Source organism: Homo sapiens, chromosome 22 (assembly GCF_000001405.40).
Source record: "Homo sapiens chromosome 22, GRCh38.p14 Primary Assembly".
In the NCBI taxonomy this organism is placed as follows: Eukaryota; Metazoa; Chordata; class Mammalia; order Primates; family Hominidae; genus Homo; species Homo sapiens.
Window position 1 is genome coordinate 44989472 of NC_000022.11, and position 15649 is coordinate 45005120.

Genomic DNA, 15649 nt, shown 5'->3' on the forward strand with positions numbered 1-15649 from the left:
ATGTTAGTTGTTGTTCATGAATGAGGAACGAGGAAATCAGTCCCCTGCTCACTAATCATCCTGAGAGAGAGAGGAAAAAAGAAAACACATCACTATAATAATAGAACGTCTACACAAGCCACCACAACTCGACTTTTTTTTTTTTTTTTTTTTTTTTGAGACGAGTCTCACTCTGTCACCCAGGCTGGAGTGCAGTGGTGTGATGTCAGCTCACGGCAACCTCCGCATCCCAGGTTCAAGCGATTCTCGTGCCTCAGCCTCCTTAGCAGCTGGGATTACAGGCGCACACCACCACATCAGGCTAATTTTTGTATTTTTAGTAGAGACAGGGTTTCACCATGTTGACTAGGCTGGTCTCAAACTCCCAACCTCAGGTGATCCACCTGCCTTGGCCTCCCAAAGTACTGGGATTACAGGCGTGAGCCACCATGCCCAGCCGTGAGCTACATTTTTAACGTCCACGTGTTTAACGCCAATGCAAATCTCTAACAGGAGAATTCCTTTTGAGCACAGGCACGCTCTTCATAAAGTGCACGCCGAAGGGGCCAACGGGCTCCGTGAATGCTGCCGCTGCCTCCACTTCCACCCATGCCCGTGTCCCCTGGGCAGAGGCCTACTAGGGGCTGGGGGAAGCCAGCAGAGAGGCACTCAAATTCCCTGGCAGGATGTGATATCAAAACCATGGCTCCCACAGTCATGGACACAGGTTTGATGGAACACGGTCACCCCTGGACTATGCCCCCAGAGGATGACACAGGCAACCAACCCTTCAGGCTTCTCTCCACTGAGGGTTTGCCCAGGAAGAAAAGCACAAGTCCCATCCATCAATTCCACTTCTGCATAGATACCCAAATGAATGGAAGGCAGGGACTCAAACATATTTGCACACCCATGTTCCTAAGAGCTTTATTCACAACAGCCAAGGGGTGGAAGCAAGGCAAACGTGCATTGACGGATGAATGGATAAACAGCACGGAGTACGTGCAAGCAGTGGAATAACGCACAGCCTGAAAAAGGAAGGAAGTTCTGACGCACGCTACAACATGCGTGAATTACGCTGAGTAAGAGTATATTACGCTAAGTGAAAAAAGCCAGTGGCAAAAAGATAAATTCAGTATATTGCGCGAAGTGAAAAAAGCCAGTTGCACAAAGATAAATACTCTGTGATTCTAAGTAAGATGCCGGCTACCAGGAGCCTGGGGAGGAAGGAATAGGAGTAATTGTTTCATGGGTACCAAGTTGCAGTTTGGGAAGACAAGGACATCTGGAGATGGATGGTGGTGACGACTACACAGCGTGAATATATCTAATGTTGCTAAACTGGGCACTTAAAAATGGTGAAGACGGTAAGTTTTATGTTATGTCCATTTTGCTGCAATAAAAATTTCGATCAATGTTATTTAATAAAGCCAGGAGTGTGACCGAGGAAAAAAGGCAGGAGTCGCTAACTGCGTGGCCAGGGGGAGCCCTGAACCACCTTGGAAGGTCTAACCACCAACAGCGGGCCCTGCTGCCGCGGCTCCTCCACACCCAGGCCTGCGAGGCGGGAATCAAAGCCCCGCCCTGCCCACCTTCCAGGGCTGTCACGAGGGTGCCGTCCATCGGGCAGGGCAGTCTCCAAAACTGTCCAGAGAAATGCAACCTGGGCTTCAATCCAGGTTAGCGCATCCTTCAGTCATTAACACTAGTAATTTTAGCATTTGTGCACCAAGGGGATTAAGTTCAAATGAGGAAACCCTCCTTGAGAAGGCAAAAAAGCTTGATGTGCACGCTATTAAGAATTCCCTAAAATGGGTAAAAGAAAAGGCAGTCTGGCCACTCCACGGTGCAGTACAGATTCTCCCACCTCACAGGTGCTGGGTCCGTGCAAAGGGGAAGGGATTTCCGGTGCCTGGAAAACCCACTGTGTGTGGTGGTTCCTTCTTCAGTGACGTCAGCCAAACAGAACACAAACCACCAAGACGACAGGCAGACTTGTGACAGATGATCCCACTGAGCGTCCTCCCCCAGGGAAGGAGGCAGAGGATCACACAGCTTCGGCCCAGGAGACCCAAGGAGAGGCTGAGAACAGGGACGGGCCTGGCGTCCCCCTAGATGGTGAGTGATGCTGTGGTCCTCTCTGTGGGGCCAGGACATCCATGGAGGGGCAGTCCCTTACAGAGCTCGGGGGACCCTGGGGTGGTCACCCTGTGCCCAGCTGGGGGGCTCCTGTGGTGGCCACTGTCTCCACCTCTGTTCTGTGTCCCGCTGGCCTCCCTCCACTGGCCTGCTAGCCAGACCTGACTCTCAGCTCCGCTGGTCCATCCAGCTCCATAAGCAGGACTCACCTGGGGACACGGGACAATGGCTGCCCTCGCTGGCCTTACAGGGTGAAGGGGCTGCTGAGAACTCTTGTCTTCACTTTCTTTGGTTTCTTCCAAAAACATATTTAGTAAATGAGTCAATTGTGTAACCTAAGAAACAGCTTTTTTAATGAAGCTGTTGGCTGGGTCACAAGATTTTTGGAGGCATTAAAGAAACCAGACCCGGACGTTGGGGGAGCGCACTTGGTCGGGTCTCACCCCAGATGCAAACGTCCCTTCTCTTGACCAATGTAAGTGACGGGGAGTGCACTGCCTCAAGGGCAGACTGTTCTCTCAGTGCATTCTTAGATGTCCTCTAACTTCAGCAGAAATTCAGTTCTGTGTTAATCCCTTCTCTCCATGCCCTCTGAAGTTGCAGAAAGCACCATTCATGCCCCTGCCAGGGGAGGACCCTTGGAGTGTTTGAACAGAAGCCCCTTGAAGCCACTTTGCAGAGGCTGCCGCTGCCCAGGGATGCTGGACGATGAAATGCATGGGAGGAACTGACGGGGACGGGGTGCTGTGGCCGCACCGCAGCGTGGACGCACTCAATGCCAGGGCGACCAGAGTGAGCCACTGAGACTGGTGTCAGGGCTACCTGAGCCACCAGCCAGTATCCCAGGCCTGCCTTCCAAGTCCTGCTCCACCGCTGGCTGATGCCAAGCACAGCAGGTGACTGTCAAGCACGTCACCCACATCAAACCTTGGAAAACATCTAACAGGCAGGAGCGGAGGCGAGGTGTGTCTTCCACAGGCTGGACTGAATCTCTGCGCGTGCACGTGTGGGTGGCAGAGCCAGGGTCCCCACCAACTCAGCCTGAGGCCGGCTCTGGCTTTTGGCCGCCATCCTCCAAGGAAGAGCTCCAGCCCCACTTTCTGTGGACTGAACAGCGTGTAAAGCACCCAACACAGAGTAGGCATAAGAATGAGTGATGTGGCGGGGTGGGGGACAGGAGGACGGGAGTGGCGACCTGACGCTGACCCCCCAGAGAGGCTCTCGGGACCCTACCCAGCCTGCTCACACGATCCTGTCGGCCTCATCCCAGCTCTCCCTGGTTTTCTTCATTTCAGCCTTGCAACCCCGCTATAAAGCAGGCAGTAGAGCCTCGTCCCCATTTTACAGATGCAGGGACTGATTCAGAAAGAGCTGAGCTTTTACCCAAATCCACCAAGTCCAACAGGGCATGGGACTCTGCATCCTCACACTTGGTCAGAAGGGACACCTCCACTCTGCCACTCCCTGAGATGCCAGGGAACACAAGGCATCAGGTACAGGGAGAAGCCACGTGAACCTGAAATGCCACATCCATGTGCGGCATCTCAGGGTGGGGCCAGCATCTCACTGGGATTCCTGGCAGGACTCGCTGGCTGGGCGGTCTGGGCTCCATTCTGGCTGGGATACAGTTTAACATACAGACAACACAGAGACACTGAGCCCAGACCAAGCTGGTTCACACTCCAGCTTCAGATATAAGCCCTCAGGTGAGTCATCACACCTCACCCAGCCTCAGTGTCCCCTCCGGTAAAAGGGGGATCGCAGGAGGCCTCTGTGTTGTTGGAAGTAAAGGCAGCAGAGGCCTATCCACGCTCATCCACCACAGCGGCACCGGCTCCATCCTCCCACCCGCCAGGGCTCTCCCACAGCCTAGAGGATGGGGAGGCTGAACCAGACCCCAGCTTCCCGGTCAACCGGAGAACAGGCCACAGCCAAGAACAGCGAGTCCAGAACCGCTCCCACACACGGCAACGTGCAGTTGACACACACGCTTCTCCGCAAGGCAGTCAATCCCCATCACAGGCTTGGAGACAGCGGCCTTCATTTTAGCCACTTCACAGATGAGAAAAATCGAGACCCGTGGAGATGAGCAACTTGGACTCTTTACTTTCCTGCAGGCCAAACAGCAACAAGGAAGCTGTGTGTGCACCCAGGAGAATGCACATCCCTATTTAGGTCGGCTGTGCTTCTAAAGCAATCTTTCCTCGCCACTGGATGAGAACAAATCAGGGTGAAACTCTCAGCTGGCTGGTTTTCAAAACTACACACACAACCTAATATCAAACCTTCTGCCTGTGAAGAGCCACAAACTAGAGGAAATGATGCACCCCAGCTTTTCTGAGATGGTCCTGATTTCAGATATTCAAACCACCTGCCCAGTCACAGTTTCAGAAGATCCTGCCATCCCACCGCTTAGGATGGAGCACGGGTTCATAGTTTGTCCATCTCAGCTTCTGGCTGTGAGAGAAGGACAGGGAGCAGACCCACATACTGAGCCAAAGGCACCTGCTGCTGCGTCGGCCCGGGGCATCCCCGCAACGTGAATCCAAGGTAGGCAGGGCTAGCTTCAGCTGGTGGAGATACTGGGTTGAAGAGTGTCCCCCTAAATTTCAGATCCTTCTAGAACCTTGGAACATGACCTTATTTGGAAATAGGGTCATTACAGATGTAATTAGTTAGCTGAGGTCATTGTGCCTTAGGGTGAACCCTAAATCCCATGACTGGCGAGCTTATAAGACAAGGAGAAAAGACTCCCAGACAGACCCTGAGGTAAGACAGCCAGGTGTAGACAGAGGCAGAGACTGGAGGGCTGTGTCTTCAAGCCAAGGACTTCCAGAAGCCGCCAGGGGCTGGCAGAAGCAAGAGAGGGGCCTCCCCTCGAGCCTCCGGAGGGAGTGCGGCCCTGCTGACACTTTCCTTTCAGACTTCTGGCCTCCAGAACTGTGAGAGAATGAATTCTGCTATTTTACGCTGCCCAGCTCGTGGGGATCAGTTACGGCAGCCACAGGACACTCACACAGCAGAGAAGAAAGCTAAGGCTCAGAGAGAAAAGTAACCAGCCACAACCCCCGGGCTCACACACAGCTGAGCCCAGCTGGACTGGGCAGCCTGGCCCAGTGCTTCAGACCTACTTTCCTCCCCTGGCACCCACTTCATCTCATCAACACTCCCCCACCCCCACTTACATACAGGCTGCTGATTACGATGAAAGATGTGCCAACGTCCCCACTTCCGCAGTATCCAAATTAGTGTCATTACAGAAAAGAAGTCCAGATAAAAATACCCAAACTTGGGGAGCGCCAGGGCGAGAATCAGCAGACCTGCATGGCAGCCTGCAGCGGCAGCATCTGAACTCACAGCAGCTCAGGCCGAGAGGCCGCCCACCGCCCACCCCTCCAGCTCATACTGGTACTCGCCAGCCAGGTCCCCGGCTCTCAGAGCTGTGTTTGCCTTTTTCATCAACTAAACAAAGCAGCAGAGGTGCAAACACTGCCTTGGGGAAGTGGGTGGGTACATCCCTCCCTCCAGTCACCAAGGTTGTGGGGAGGTATGGGGGGGATGAATTACTGTACAGCAAGTCCAGCTGCACCAGGATGTAATAAAATGTGTTGCTAAGATACAAGTGCCACAGAAGTTCATTAAAGGACACTTTCAACCAAGCTGCCAGACTCTTCTCCCTTCAAAGCCGCTTCTTTGGTACCGTCCCTCATGCTTATAATTAGATCCACAATATGAGAGGCAGCGTTCCCCATTCAAGTCCACTCAGCAGAACACGTTAATAAAATAACTCCAACGAGGCAGTGGCTGGGGCTGGAGTGTGTGGGGGGCTGGGGGACGAGTCTATTTACAGAAATGCATTTGTGTTCCACTTACTTATCTAAATGAGAGATAAGCACCCTTGAAGAGTCCCGAGGCACTCTGGTTGTGTGACCAGCTCCTCCCCTCCCAGGAGTCTGGGGCTCACTCTGGGACCACAGAATCGCTAAACCTTGGGAGCTTGGACCACTGTAGAACCAAGGTCTTGAATCTCGGGAATCACCAACACAGACTCTTTGCATCTTAGGATGCTAAGGTTCTAGAATCTTCGGCGCGTCGAGTCTGACTCAGTCACTGCATTTAGCACTCGGTATGTCGGCACCTTCCGAGATGTTGAGTGGAGACAGAGATGAGGGAGGGAGGAAATTACTAGATGACCCCCCCGCCCCCCACCTCCACCCCCCCATCCCCCCACGTGATTCGGGGGAAAGACAGACTCTGTCCCTGAGGTCAGGGTGACTGCCCATCTCCGCCGGGCCCCAGACGATGCAGAGGAAGGAGCCAGGTGTTGAGGGCACAGCGGAGGGGACGTGGCAAGGGGCTCAAAGATGGTCGCAGAGGGGACAGTTCACCTCGATCTGCAGGGGTGTCCCTTCTGGCCGGGGATATGTGGAAAGGCTGTATTGCCCATATCCAAACATCACACTTCATTTCTGGCTTCTCTTGAAAAATCCAAGGAGCCAGCGGCACAGGGCCCATGCCACATGACAACAGGGGGGTGCTGGGCCATGCTGCCCCCAGCTGAGGGGCTCGGTCTCTCCAGCGCCCAGCCCTCAGCAGGACCACTCGCCAGCCCACAGCTTCGGTGTCTGCCATCCCTGCCGAGGCTGGGAACCTCAGGTTGTAATTACACAGCCACAGAGTCCCTGATGAGTCTCAAGATTTCTGAATCACAGAATCTCAGTGTCAGGGAGCATCCGCCAGCCTTCCCCGTACAACTGCTGGTTGGTGCCGCTTCTCCTTCACTGACTGAGAGGTGGTTTGGCAGATGGAGGCCTTAAACAACCAGTTCTAGCCCCAGACAGCTCTCATCATCAGGGTATTCCTCCAGACTGGGGGCGGAAATCAGCTTTCACCTAACTTTCAATCTGTGGTCAACATTCTGCCCCATGAAAGGGCTGCTCCCTCTCAAACACTCAGGCCAGGTGGTGATTCAAAGGCTGAGGTCAGTCACACCGAGAGGAAGGGTCCCTACCCCGTTTGACTCTCTGATCCCCTCTAGATCACTCTCTAAAGCTGCCACCTGTCCTACACACACACACAGACACACAAACACACACACGCATACATGCATATACACATGCAGACATATACACATGCATGCAAACACACACAAACACCCACATGCACACACGGATCCACACACGTGCATGCACAAGCACACACACATGCATACATGCAGACGCACATAAGCATACACAGAGGTGGGCACACACGAACACATGCACACACACACATGCATACATGCAGACGCACACAAGCATACACAAACGTGTGCACACATGCATACACACATGCACACACACGCGCACATGCACATCGCTTCCCCGTTCTACTTTTCACCAGAGCACCTGCCACCTTCCGACCCACTCCACGTCACGCATTATGTTTCTCATCGATTACCTGTCTCCCCCCCGAGTCTCTGAGCACCACAAGGCCTATTGTGCCCACTGCTCACGAGCCTGTTAACGGGGCCCTCCCTGCTGAACATCCTCATCTGGTCACACCCCAGAGAATACGCAAAAAGGCTTCAGACACAGAGAGCTCCACTACCCTCGTCCCCTCCAGTCCCTTACGCTGAAGGTCCTGGGCCAATGAGTCCCAGCTCCTGCTTGGAGATGGCAGCCACAGGTGGCTCCTGGCAACTTTCCCTTGACGTGCCCACTTCTGCCACTTCCCATGCCTATGGCTGGAATCACCTCGAGGGCTCTGGCCTCAGTCCACGATGGCCCCAGTAACTGTTCTGTCACCTCTCCTTCCAAGCTCTTGGGGGGACCTTCTTGCAATGGCTGCAGGGAGGTGGACGTGGGCAATGTGGACAAACAGAGTTTTGCATTCAATGGGGCTGTCAACCCAGAGTTTAACAAATAATTCCGGCATTTATCTGTGGTGCATTTATTACCACTGAGACGCATTAATCACAGACTAGACTCGTATTGCTGATTGTAGGAAATGCTACCTGTCACTTTGCAAGCTGCATCTCACATTAAATTCTGGATCATAGTCTCTAATATGTATATATTTTTAATTACATTTTCAGGTTCATTTACATGTGCAGATTGGCTTTCCGCCTGAATGACATCAAAGAGAAACACTTCTCCCTCTCTTTCTCTCCCTTCCCCTCCTCTCCTGCCTCATCCCAGCCCTTTTCTTTTGCCTGGGGTAAAAACCCTCTCCCCAAATTGACTACAGCTTCACCCAGGGGCGGCCTCCTCAGGGAGGTCCCAACAGACCCCTCTGCTGCCGCTTCGCATAACGGAGGCCCGCCCTTCCAAATTGCCATCTCTCAGCTCCTTTCCTATTTTGGGGAATGACTCTTCCGTAACAAGCCCACAGCTGGCCCCTACCCTCAATTGTAGACTCTGAAAACAGAAATGTGCAAACTTGGGCTAGGTGATGGCTGCAGGGACTCCTGATTCTCCAGGGACACAGAAGGTGAAGAAACTTACCCATACCTGGAGATCTGCAGCCAATCTGATTTAGTAAGTTTCATCGTATGGACCATTCTGGAACACACTGTGCCCTGCCAAAGCTGCCTGTCTCTTACTTGTGCAATTCAGAAGTCAACTACTTGGAGAGTCTAGCAACCATTCTCAAAACACCCAGGTGTCCTGAGGGTCCTTTCTTGGCAGTCCTGTTGTCCACAAATAAGGTCATCCATGCAGGACGCAGCAACTCTCACACACAGGCTGCCCTCTGGGGCCAGCGGCTTCAGAAAGAAAACTCTGGTGAAGTAAATTTAATTGTGAAAACAAACACAATAGGTTTCTCGCATGGGCCAAGCGCAGTGATCAGAAGACCTGGAGTCACAGGGGCCCGATCTTGTTCCTGGGTGCAATTCCCAACCCCGACCGGGGCCTCAGTTTCCCTCGGGTAAGATGAGGGGCTTGGCCGAGGTGCTCCCCTTGGTTCTCACATCCTATGCTTTTAGCTTCAGCCATAAGCCATCAGGCCAAGGCGGGGGACATGTCCCCTCAATTTCCACAGACTCCCAAGTCAGGGGCCGAATCCCAGCTCTGGGTACACCCGTCCAGAGACCAAAAGCAACTCAGTAGTTTCTGTATCAACAAAAAGCCAGAGATGCCTCCCTGCTTTTCTACGGCAATAATGTCTTTGGGGTCCTGCTGGCTGTTTCTTGTATTATTGTTAATAAAATAGTACTGACAACAGCTCTCTCTACTCAACTCCTGGCTGCACCTCGGGAATCACGCCCGGTGCGTACAATGCTCGCCCCATTCATCCCCGGGACATCACTGCCAGAGGGGCTCCAACACCCCCACTTTGAGACCAGGACCCAGCCTGGCCTGCCCCTCCCATCCCTCTTCAGGATGAGGGTTTGACTCAACCCTGAGCAAAAAAATAAAAATCCCACATGGATACCCTCCTTTCTGCCATCTTTTAAGAAGACCAGCACAAGTGCCAAGCCAAAGTAAAAAACCGTATAGTACGGCCCAATCGGAGCCGCCAAGGGATGCCCGCTGTTGGCAGTCAGGGACTGTAACCAGAGTGAAGCTGCACCAGCAATTTCTCCCCACACTGGGACTGCTACTACCGAACAGGAAGTCACCACCAAAAACAACACAGAGCAATCTTCAGAAAGCATATTCGTTCCTTCAGAGAACAGAGACCATTTCAAAATGAGATGTCTCCACCTTAAACTATAAAATAACATCAATAATAATAAAAAGGAGAGCAGAACGCAAGCCAGAGAGAGGGAGGAGGAGGAAACCCCCCAGCTGCGAAGGGCTTGGCTTTTGTGCTGCAGACTCCTCTCCACAACCCCGCAATCCTCACCGAGGCCCCGGCCAGCCACACACTCCCCGGTGCTAAGCCAACAGCCAGGCTCCCGGGAGATGCAGAGACCCAGACCCAGACCCCAGGAAGCTTCCATGACTTCTATTTCGGAGCAAAAGTACTGCTCGCGGTCACCAGGACGGTTACTAACTTGCTGGGGATTGTCTCCAACATCGTAACTCCACTCATTTTTATCTGACCGTGTGCCCCGGAGTAACAGTCCACACCTCACTTTTCTTATTGGTGCCATTACGCTGTCATTTCTCCCCCTACACGTGCCAGTGTTGGAGTTAAGGTCACGAAGCTGGGCACCCAATGGTCCAGAACTGGACCACGGCTTCTCTACTCACCAGGGGTGTGATCTCAACAAGGCCCCCAACCTCTCTGGGCCGAGCCAGTCCACAGAGAGAACCAGAAGGCACCTGCTCAGAGCCAGCGCCCCACAGGAACACCAGGACGCGTCAGGACACGTCATCAGTCCCACTGGGTGAGAACTTCCTGTGGGCCCAGAGCTTAATGCACCACTCACTAATCCTGCGGCCTCTCGAAGATTGTTTCTTGAGTGCTCACCGAGCACCAGGCACTCTGCTGCCTGGCTGGCCATGAACTATTATTAATCCCCTTTTATAACTACGGAACCAGAGCCTCCAAGGCGGCAAAGCCTGCCCCAAGCGGAAGGAGCCGGCAAAGGATGGAGCCGGGATTGGAACTCCAGTCTGTCCAGTTTTAAAGCCTGCACTGTAAATCACTTTGTCACACGCCTCTCGGAGACAAAGTTAAAAGCCTTCTAAACAGTACTCGGGAGGGAAATCGGGGGGCAGGGCCTCCAAGGCTGGGCCACCGGACACCCTCAAAGCTCCTTAACCCCCTAGAGGTGACCAGAGCCTCCCCGAGACACTGCCCCATACATATCAAGAGCCTCGGCTGCTGAAGAAGGAGTGTGGCGCCCTCAGGACCAGCAGTGTGTCTGCAGATGGGGCGAGTAGCAGCCTCGTGTGTTCGCTGCTCACACAAGTGAAATCAAAGACACAGCCCATGATTCGGTTCCTGAAGAGACAAAGGCGTTGGAGGAAAAACTTGGTAAATCACAAGGCTAATCATCATAGCCAGCAGCTCTAATGAGGCATCATGGGACTACCAAAGTTATTATCAGAGTCATTTCATTGAAAAAATTCAAAGTTAATTGAAATCAATTGTACGGTTCCGACAGCAGGTGTTTTAAGACTCTAAGGTATCAAAGCGGACTCTTTGGAGTGGCTGATGCAGGCGGCGTAGTCAGCATAGTGGTCGTCAACCTTTACGGGGGCAAAAAGCAACATGACGCTCTCGCATGGAAAGATCGCCTCCCCAGCGGGGACAAGCAACAAGACAAAAGTGCCCAGGTCAGAGCCCGGGCAGGGGGGTGGTTCCTGTGGTTCAAGTCAACCCTCATCTCTAGTGACAGACCCACGTTTAACACCTTCACGTTGCAGTCTAAAAGCACTTTCATATCTGCTGATTTCATCGCAATCACCAGGTGAGTGGGTCTTATTCCCACCCCCACTTCACAGCTGGCAAACGGAGCTCGTTCAGAGAGGCAGAATGGCTTGCCCAAGGTTGCTCAGCCAAGACACAGGAAGCTGGGCCGTGAACCCCCGTGTGCTGACTATGGGGCCCTTGCTCTTCCGGCTCCATCACCTTTTACCCTACACCATGGGAGACCAGCTGGAGATGAGCAGGGGGCTAACATGGAGGCATTCCGGGCCAGGGGGCAGTGTCGACAATTCCATTCACAGCGGTCCCAGGCGGCTCAACCTTGGAAAGCTGCCCTCCTCCGATGTGTCCTGAAGATTCACCAGCCCAGTCCGACCCAAGTCCCAGGATTATCCTGACAATCAAATAAAAAGACGTCGATCAAGGAGGACAGAGGAGGTGCGTTGAAGAGAGTGCCACAGCCAGCCACAGCAGCGAGTGTGCAATCTGCCACCACCTTCTCTACCAGTGCAAATGTCACCTCCCTGGAGCTGTCCCCACACCCCTCAGCACAGCACATCGTCCCATCTGCCACCTGGGTGAGCCTGGTGGCCAGACATCTCACACAAATACCTCACTGGGCCTCGACAGGTGACTGTGGACACACCTGCCTCCCCAACTGCATGTGAAAACAGCTGTGAGCTGTGGGCTATATCAAGTGAAAGCCCTCTGCAAGTGTAAAGCCTTATAGAGTGAGATGTCACCGTCACTCACAACATACCGCTCCACCGCTACTTCCATATCCCCAATAATTTCTGGTGGAAACTCCTTTCATATTCGTGGAATTAACCTGAGCTGTTCCCAAGAGACCTCCACAATACCACGTCAGGTGTGAAAAGCAGGTCTGGGAACAGTGATGCCTGGTGCATGGACTTGTGTGAGAAGGTGTTTACCCAACATCATAGACGCATCTGCAGACACCTCCGTGAGCACACCTCGAGGCCACCGCCGCTCTCGCCCAAGGATACAGTGGGGCAGGAAGAAGTGAGACCCGCGCTTTACGATATTCAAACTTGTACTGCCATTTTCCCGATGAGCACGTGTTGCTTTTCTAAGAAAAACCTTTAAAAAGTAGAATTCTTCTTTATCTCCTAAATGTGACCAAAATGATAGAATGCTGATCACCACCTTCCTTAGTAAAATTTACTTCAGCAGAATGTTAATTATTTTCCTGACTTCAAAAACAAATCCTTCCTCTCATTTTAGTAACAGACAAAATAATAACTATTTCATACACATTACATAGGCTTTACATGTCTACTGTTGTATTGACATATATCAATATACAAATATTTGTCATTATACGTTACATGTGGCCAAGAAAATTAAATCAATAGGAATAAAAATGTAACTGGTAAACATGTAACTATAAATTGCATTTATGTACATACACACACACCACATGCACACAAACACATACACACACTTTTGTTCTTCAACTTAGCAGAGTTACCCACTCAATTGCCTTCTGGGGCTTCCAGAGGTGTCCCCCACTAATTCTTTGGCTCTAAGAACCTCTGCTGAAGGCTGGGGGAGGGTCACCTGGAACCCCCACCCTCACAGCCTGGTTTATGTACTGGTCACCCAGGGCTCTGGGTCCAGCACCAGCCTCGCGCTCCCCACAACGATGGGGCCTGTCAAGAGGCTCCCCACGCAGGTGACAAACACCTAAGTATCTCATGCACTTGGGGAACCCAGGCATCCTTCACACTCCTCCCTTCTGACCTGCCCTCAGCACCCCTGCACTCCTACACACATCTTCCTGCCTCGTGCCCTAGAAGCCCTTGGGCACGGCAAGAGGCCATGGTATCAACTCGAGGCCCTCCGGCCCTGCATGTGACATCTTCTTACACTGGCCCCAGCTGGCCTTCTCTGCCCTCTCTCTCCTCCTCGTTCATGGTTTTACTGCCAGAAAACTCAGCAGCGCCCTTACCTCCCACTGCGCGTTTCTCTGGGGCCATTTTCCCTTGACAAGCTTGGCCACCATCCGCGCCCATCCGCTCCCCAGGAGGCCCTATGGACGCATCTCCCAGGCAACCCCCTCCCGGAAGCCGTCCTCAGTTTCCAGGCCAGCAATGATGCAGGTGTTCCCGCAGCATGATTTTCACAGCCCTTTTCCAGAAGTTCCTTGAAACTGTTCTCCACGCCTCACTCTTTTGTTGGGTTTCCAAGGGCAGGGAGCTTGTCTCATTCATCTCTGGGTCCACTCATTTCAACACACACGATTTCAAAATCTTCCCTTTGCTCCAGGCCTACTGCAGGCTAGGGGCTCCCCTAGGACAGTTAACAAATCATTGCCAATCTTCACACCATCACTGCCCTGGGAAAAGGCAGAGGGGAGCTCAGCAGGCACCCCTCAGGGAGCTTACAGTCTAGCACAGTAGCTGATCTAGGAAGATCTACACAAGCAAGGCTAAGAACGCCGCAGAGGCAGAAAAGCACTCCAGGTGTCTGCAGCTGCCCCTCAGGGAGCTTACAGTCTAGCACAGTAGCTGATCTAGGAAGATCTACACAAGCAAGGCTAAGAACGCCGCAGAGGCAGAAAAGCACTCCAGGTGTCTGTAGCTGCCCCGCAGGAGCGAGGAGGAGCTTCTGGGGCAGAGGCCGAGCAGGTGGGCAGGGCCATCCCTGTGGCTCTGCAGGCCCCTGGGATTCATTCCAAGAGCAAGGGGAAGCCACCAGAAGGTTGTGAGCCAGGGAGCACTGTGACCTCATTCACATTCTAAGACACTGACTCTGGGGAAGAATATACTAGAAGGGCCCAGAGTAGACGCAGCATGCCACTCACAACAGGAAAAGGTGGAAACAGGCCAAACGTCCACTCGTGGATGAACGGTTGGACAGAATGAGTTCTCTCTACAGGGCGGGAAGTCCTGACATAAAAGCTAGTGAAGTGCTGATACGTGCTACAACTTGCATGGAGCCTGAATCATTAAGTGCAACAGGCCAGTCACAAAAAGATGTAAATATATCTATTTAATATAAGTGGAATCATACTATATACATAGCATAATCATACTATATAGTCATTTTATACACACACACACATACATATATACACACACACATAGTATGATTCCATTCATACGAAAGCCCAGAACAGGCAACTCTAGAGACAGAGTAGATTAGTGGTTGCTTAAAGCTGGGGAAGGGGGAAAGGGGAGAGGGGAAGTGACAGCCAAGGGGTTTCTTTTATAGGCGACAAAAATATTCTAAAATGGATGGTAGTGAAGGCTGTACAGATCTGTCAATATGCTAAAAACCACTGAATGGTACACTTTAAATGGGTGAGTAAGTCTATGTAAAATATATCTCAATAAAGCTGTTTTGTTGATGTTTTTAAGTAGACGCAGTGAAGGGGCTATCACAATCTTCCAGGTAAGAGATGGTAGTGGGTGGGCGCAGGGCGATGAAGGGATGGAGGGGTCCAGGAAACTCCAGCTGTGTGTGTGGGGGGTGTGAGAGGTGGGGGATGAAGGCCACACAGGTGGTAGCCAGGCTAACCAGGGGTGAAACCGGGCTAGGCCTTGCTGTCCCATTCCCACGATCTTCCCCTAGCAGTATTAAGTGTGGAGCTTTTGGAGTTGTACTGATTTTTTTCTGCAATGTATAATGATACTGTTTCAACAATGAGAACTGGCACTTTACATCAGAGAGATTAAAATGTACCTTTCTGGAGGAGAGTAAGCTTGGGAGGAGAGTTCGGAAAACAGAAAGTCCTGGTACCAAAGGACTGCAAACAATGTGGGGTGGGGCTGTGGATAACCCCCCAGCTTCATTCAGTGGCTGCTTCTAAGGTGGAATCCCCCATTGCTGGACACAGCTGGTAAGTCATGGTGAAGACACGTCTCAGCGCTGGGCGCGCACACAACACCTTTCAAGACAACGTACTTTTACTGCTGCACTCGGGGACAGCCTCTCAGAACCCAGAGTTCATCAGCTCCACGGACTCTTGGGGTAGTGCACAAGGTCCCAAGCTCACCTCCGGGGTCCTTCTCATGAGACCACAGCAGCATGGACTGCGGTTCAAACAGAAGGCTCTTCCCAACCTGACTGTAAAGCTGCACCTGCATGAAGTTCAGGTCTGGAGATGCCAGCTCACACATGGCATCTAAATGCTGTGCTCGGAACTCCGAAGAGGGGACCTCCACCCACCCAGTATTTACGCTGGGTCTTTAACTTACACAGA

The 15649-nt window shown here is 52.4% G+C and overlaps 1 protein-coding gene and 1 long non-coding RNA gene across 9 annotated transcripts in view, besides 5 other annotated features; both read right to left on the reverse strand.

Annotated features, from left to right (window-relative positions):
• PHF21B (PHD finger protein 21B) overlaps nt 1–15649 on the reverse strand; it is a 128844-nt gene that overhangs the window by 108310 nt on the left and 4885 nt on the right. The gene's annotated exons all lie outside the window — the stretch shown is intronic.
• Nucleotides 1864–2685: an enhancer, noted in NCBI's record as "H3K4me1 hESC enhancer chr22:45387215-45388036 (GRCh37/hg19 assembly coordinates)". NCBI's record gives its function as "activates a minimal SCP1, AML or CMV promoter by ChIP-STARR-seq in primed H9 embryonic stem cells {active_cell/tissue: H9 hESC(primed)}" and the evidence as "EXISTENCE:reporter gene assay evidence [ECO:0000049][PMID:30033119]".
• Nucleotides 5282–5781: an enhancer, noted in NCBI's record as "H3K4me1 hESC enhancer chr22:45390633-45391132 (GRCh37/hg19 assembly coordinates)". NCBI's record gives its function as "activates a minimal SCP1, AML or CMV promoter by ChIP-STARR-seq in naive H9 embryonic stem cells {active_cell/tissue: H9 hESC(naive)}" and the evidence as "EXISTENCE:reporter gene assay evidence [ECO:0000049][PMID:30033119]".
• Nucleotides 10427–11286: an enhancer, noted in NCBI's record as "H3K27ac-H3K4me1 hESC enhancer chr22:45395779-45396638 (GRCh37/hg19 assembly coordinates)". NCBI's record gives its function as "activates a minimal SCP1, AML or CMV promoter by ChIP-STARR-seq in naive H9 embryonic stem cells {active_cell/tissue: H9 hESC(naive)}" and the evidence as "EXISTENCE:reporter gene assay evidence [ECO:0000049][PMID:30033119]".
• On the reverse strand, nt 11094–14148 carry LOC101927551 (uncharacterized). The gene is made up of 3 exons (NR_147506.1): nt 13394–14148; nt 12396–12551; nt 11094–11815 (listed from the first exon to the last, which is right to left on the reverse strand). It is a non-coding gene; the product is annotated as an uncharacterized LOC101927551 (long non-coding RNA).
• Nucleotides 12786–13644: an enhancer, noted in NCBI's record as "H3K27ac-H3K4me1 hESC enhancer chr22:45398138-45398996 (GRCh37/hg19 assembly coordinates)". NCBI's record gives its function as "activates a minimal SCP1, AML or CMV promoter by ChIP-STARR-seq in primed H9 embryonic stem cells {active_cell/tissue: H9 hESC(primed)}" and the evidence as "EXISTENCE:reporter gene assay evidence [ECO:0000049][PMID:30033119]".
• Nucleotides 13645–14503: an enhancer, noted in NCBI's record as "H3K27ac-H3K4me1 hESC enhancer chr22:45398997-45399855 (GRCh37/hg19 assembly coordinates)". NCBI's record gives its function as "activates a minimal SCP1, AML or CMV promoter by ChIP-STARR-seq in primed H9 embryonic stem cells {active_cell/tissue: H9 hESC(primed)}" and the evidence as "EXISTENCE:reporter gene assay evidence [ECO:0000049][PMID:30033119]".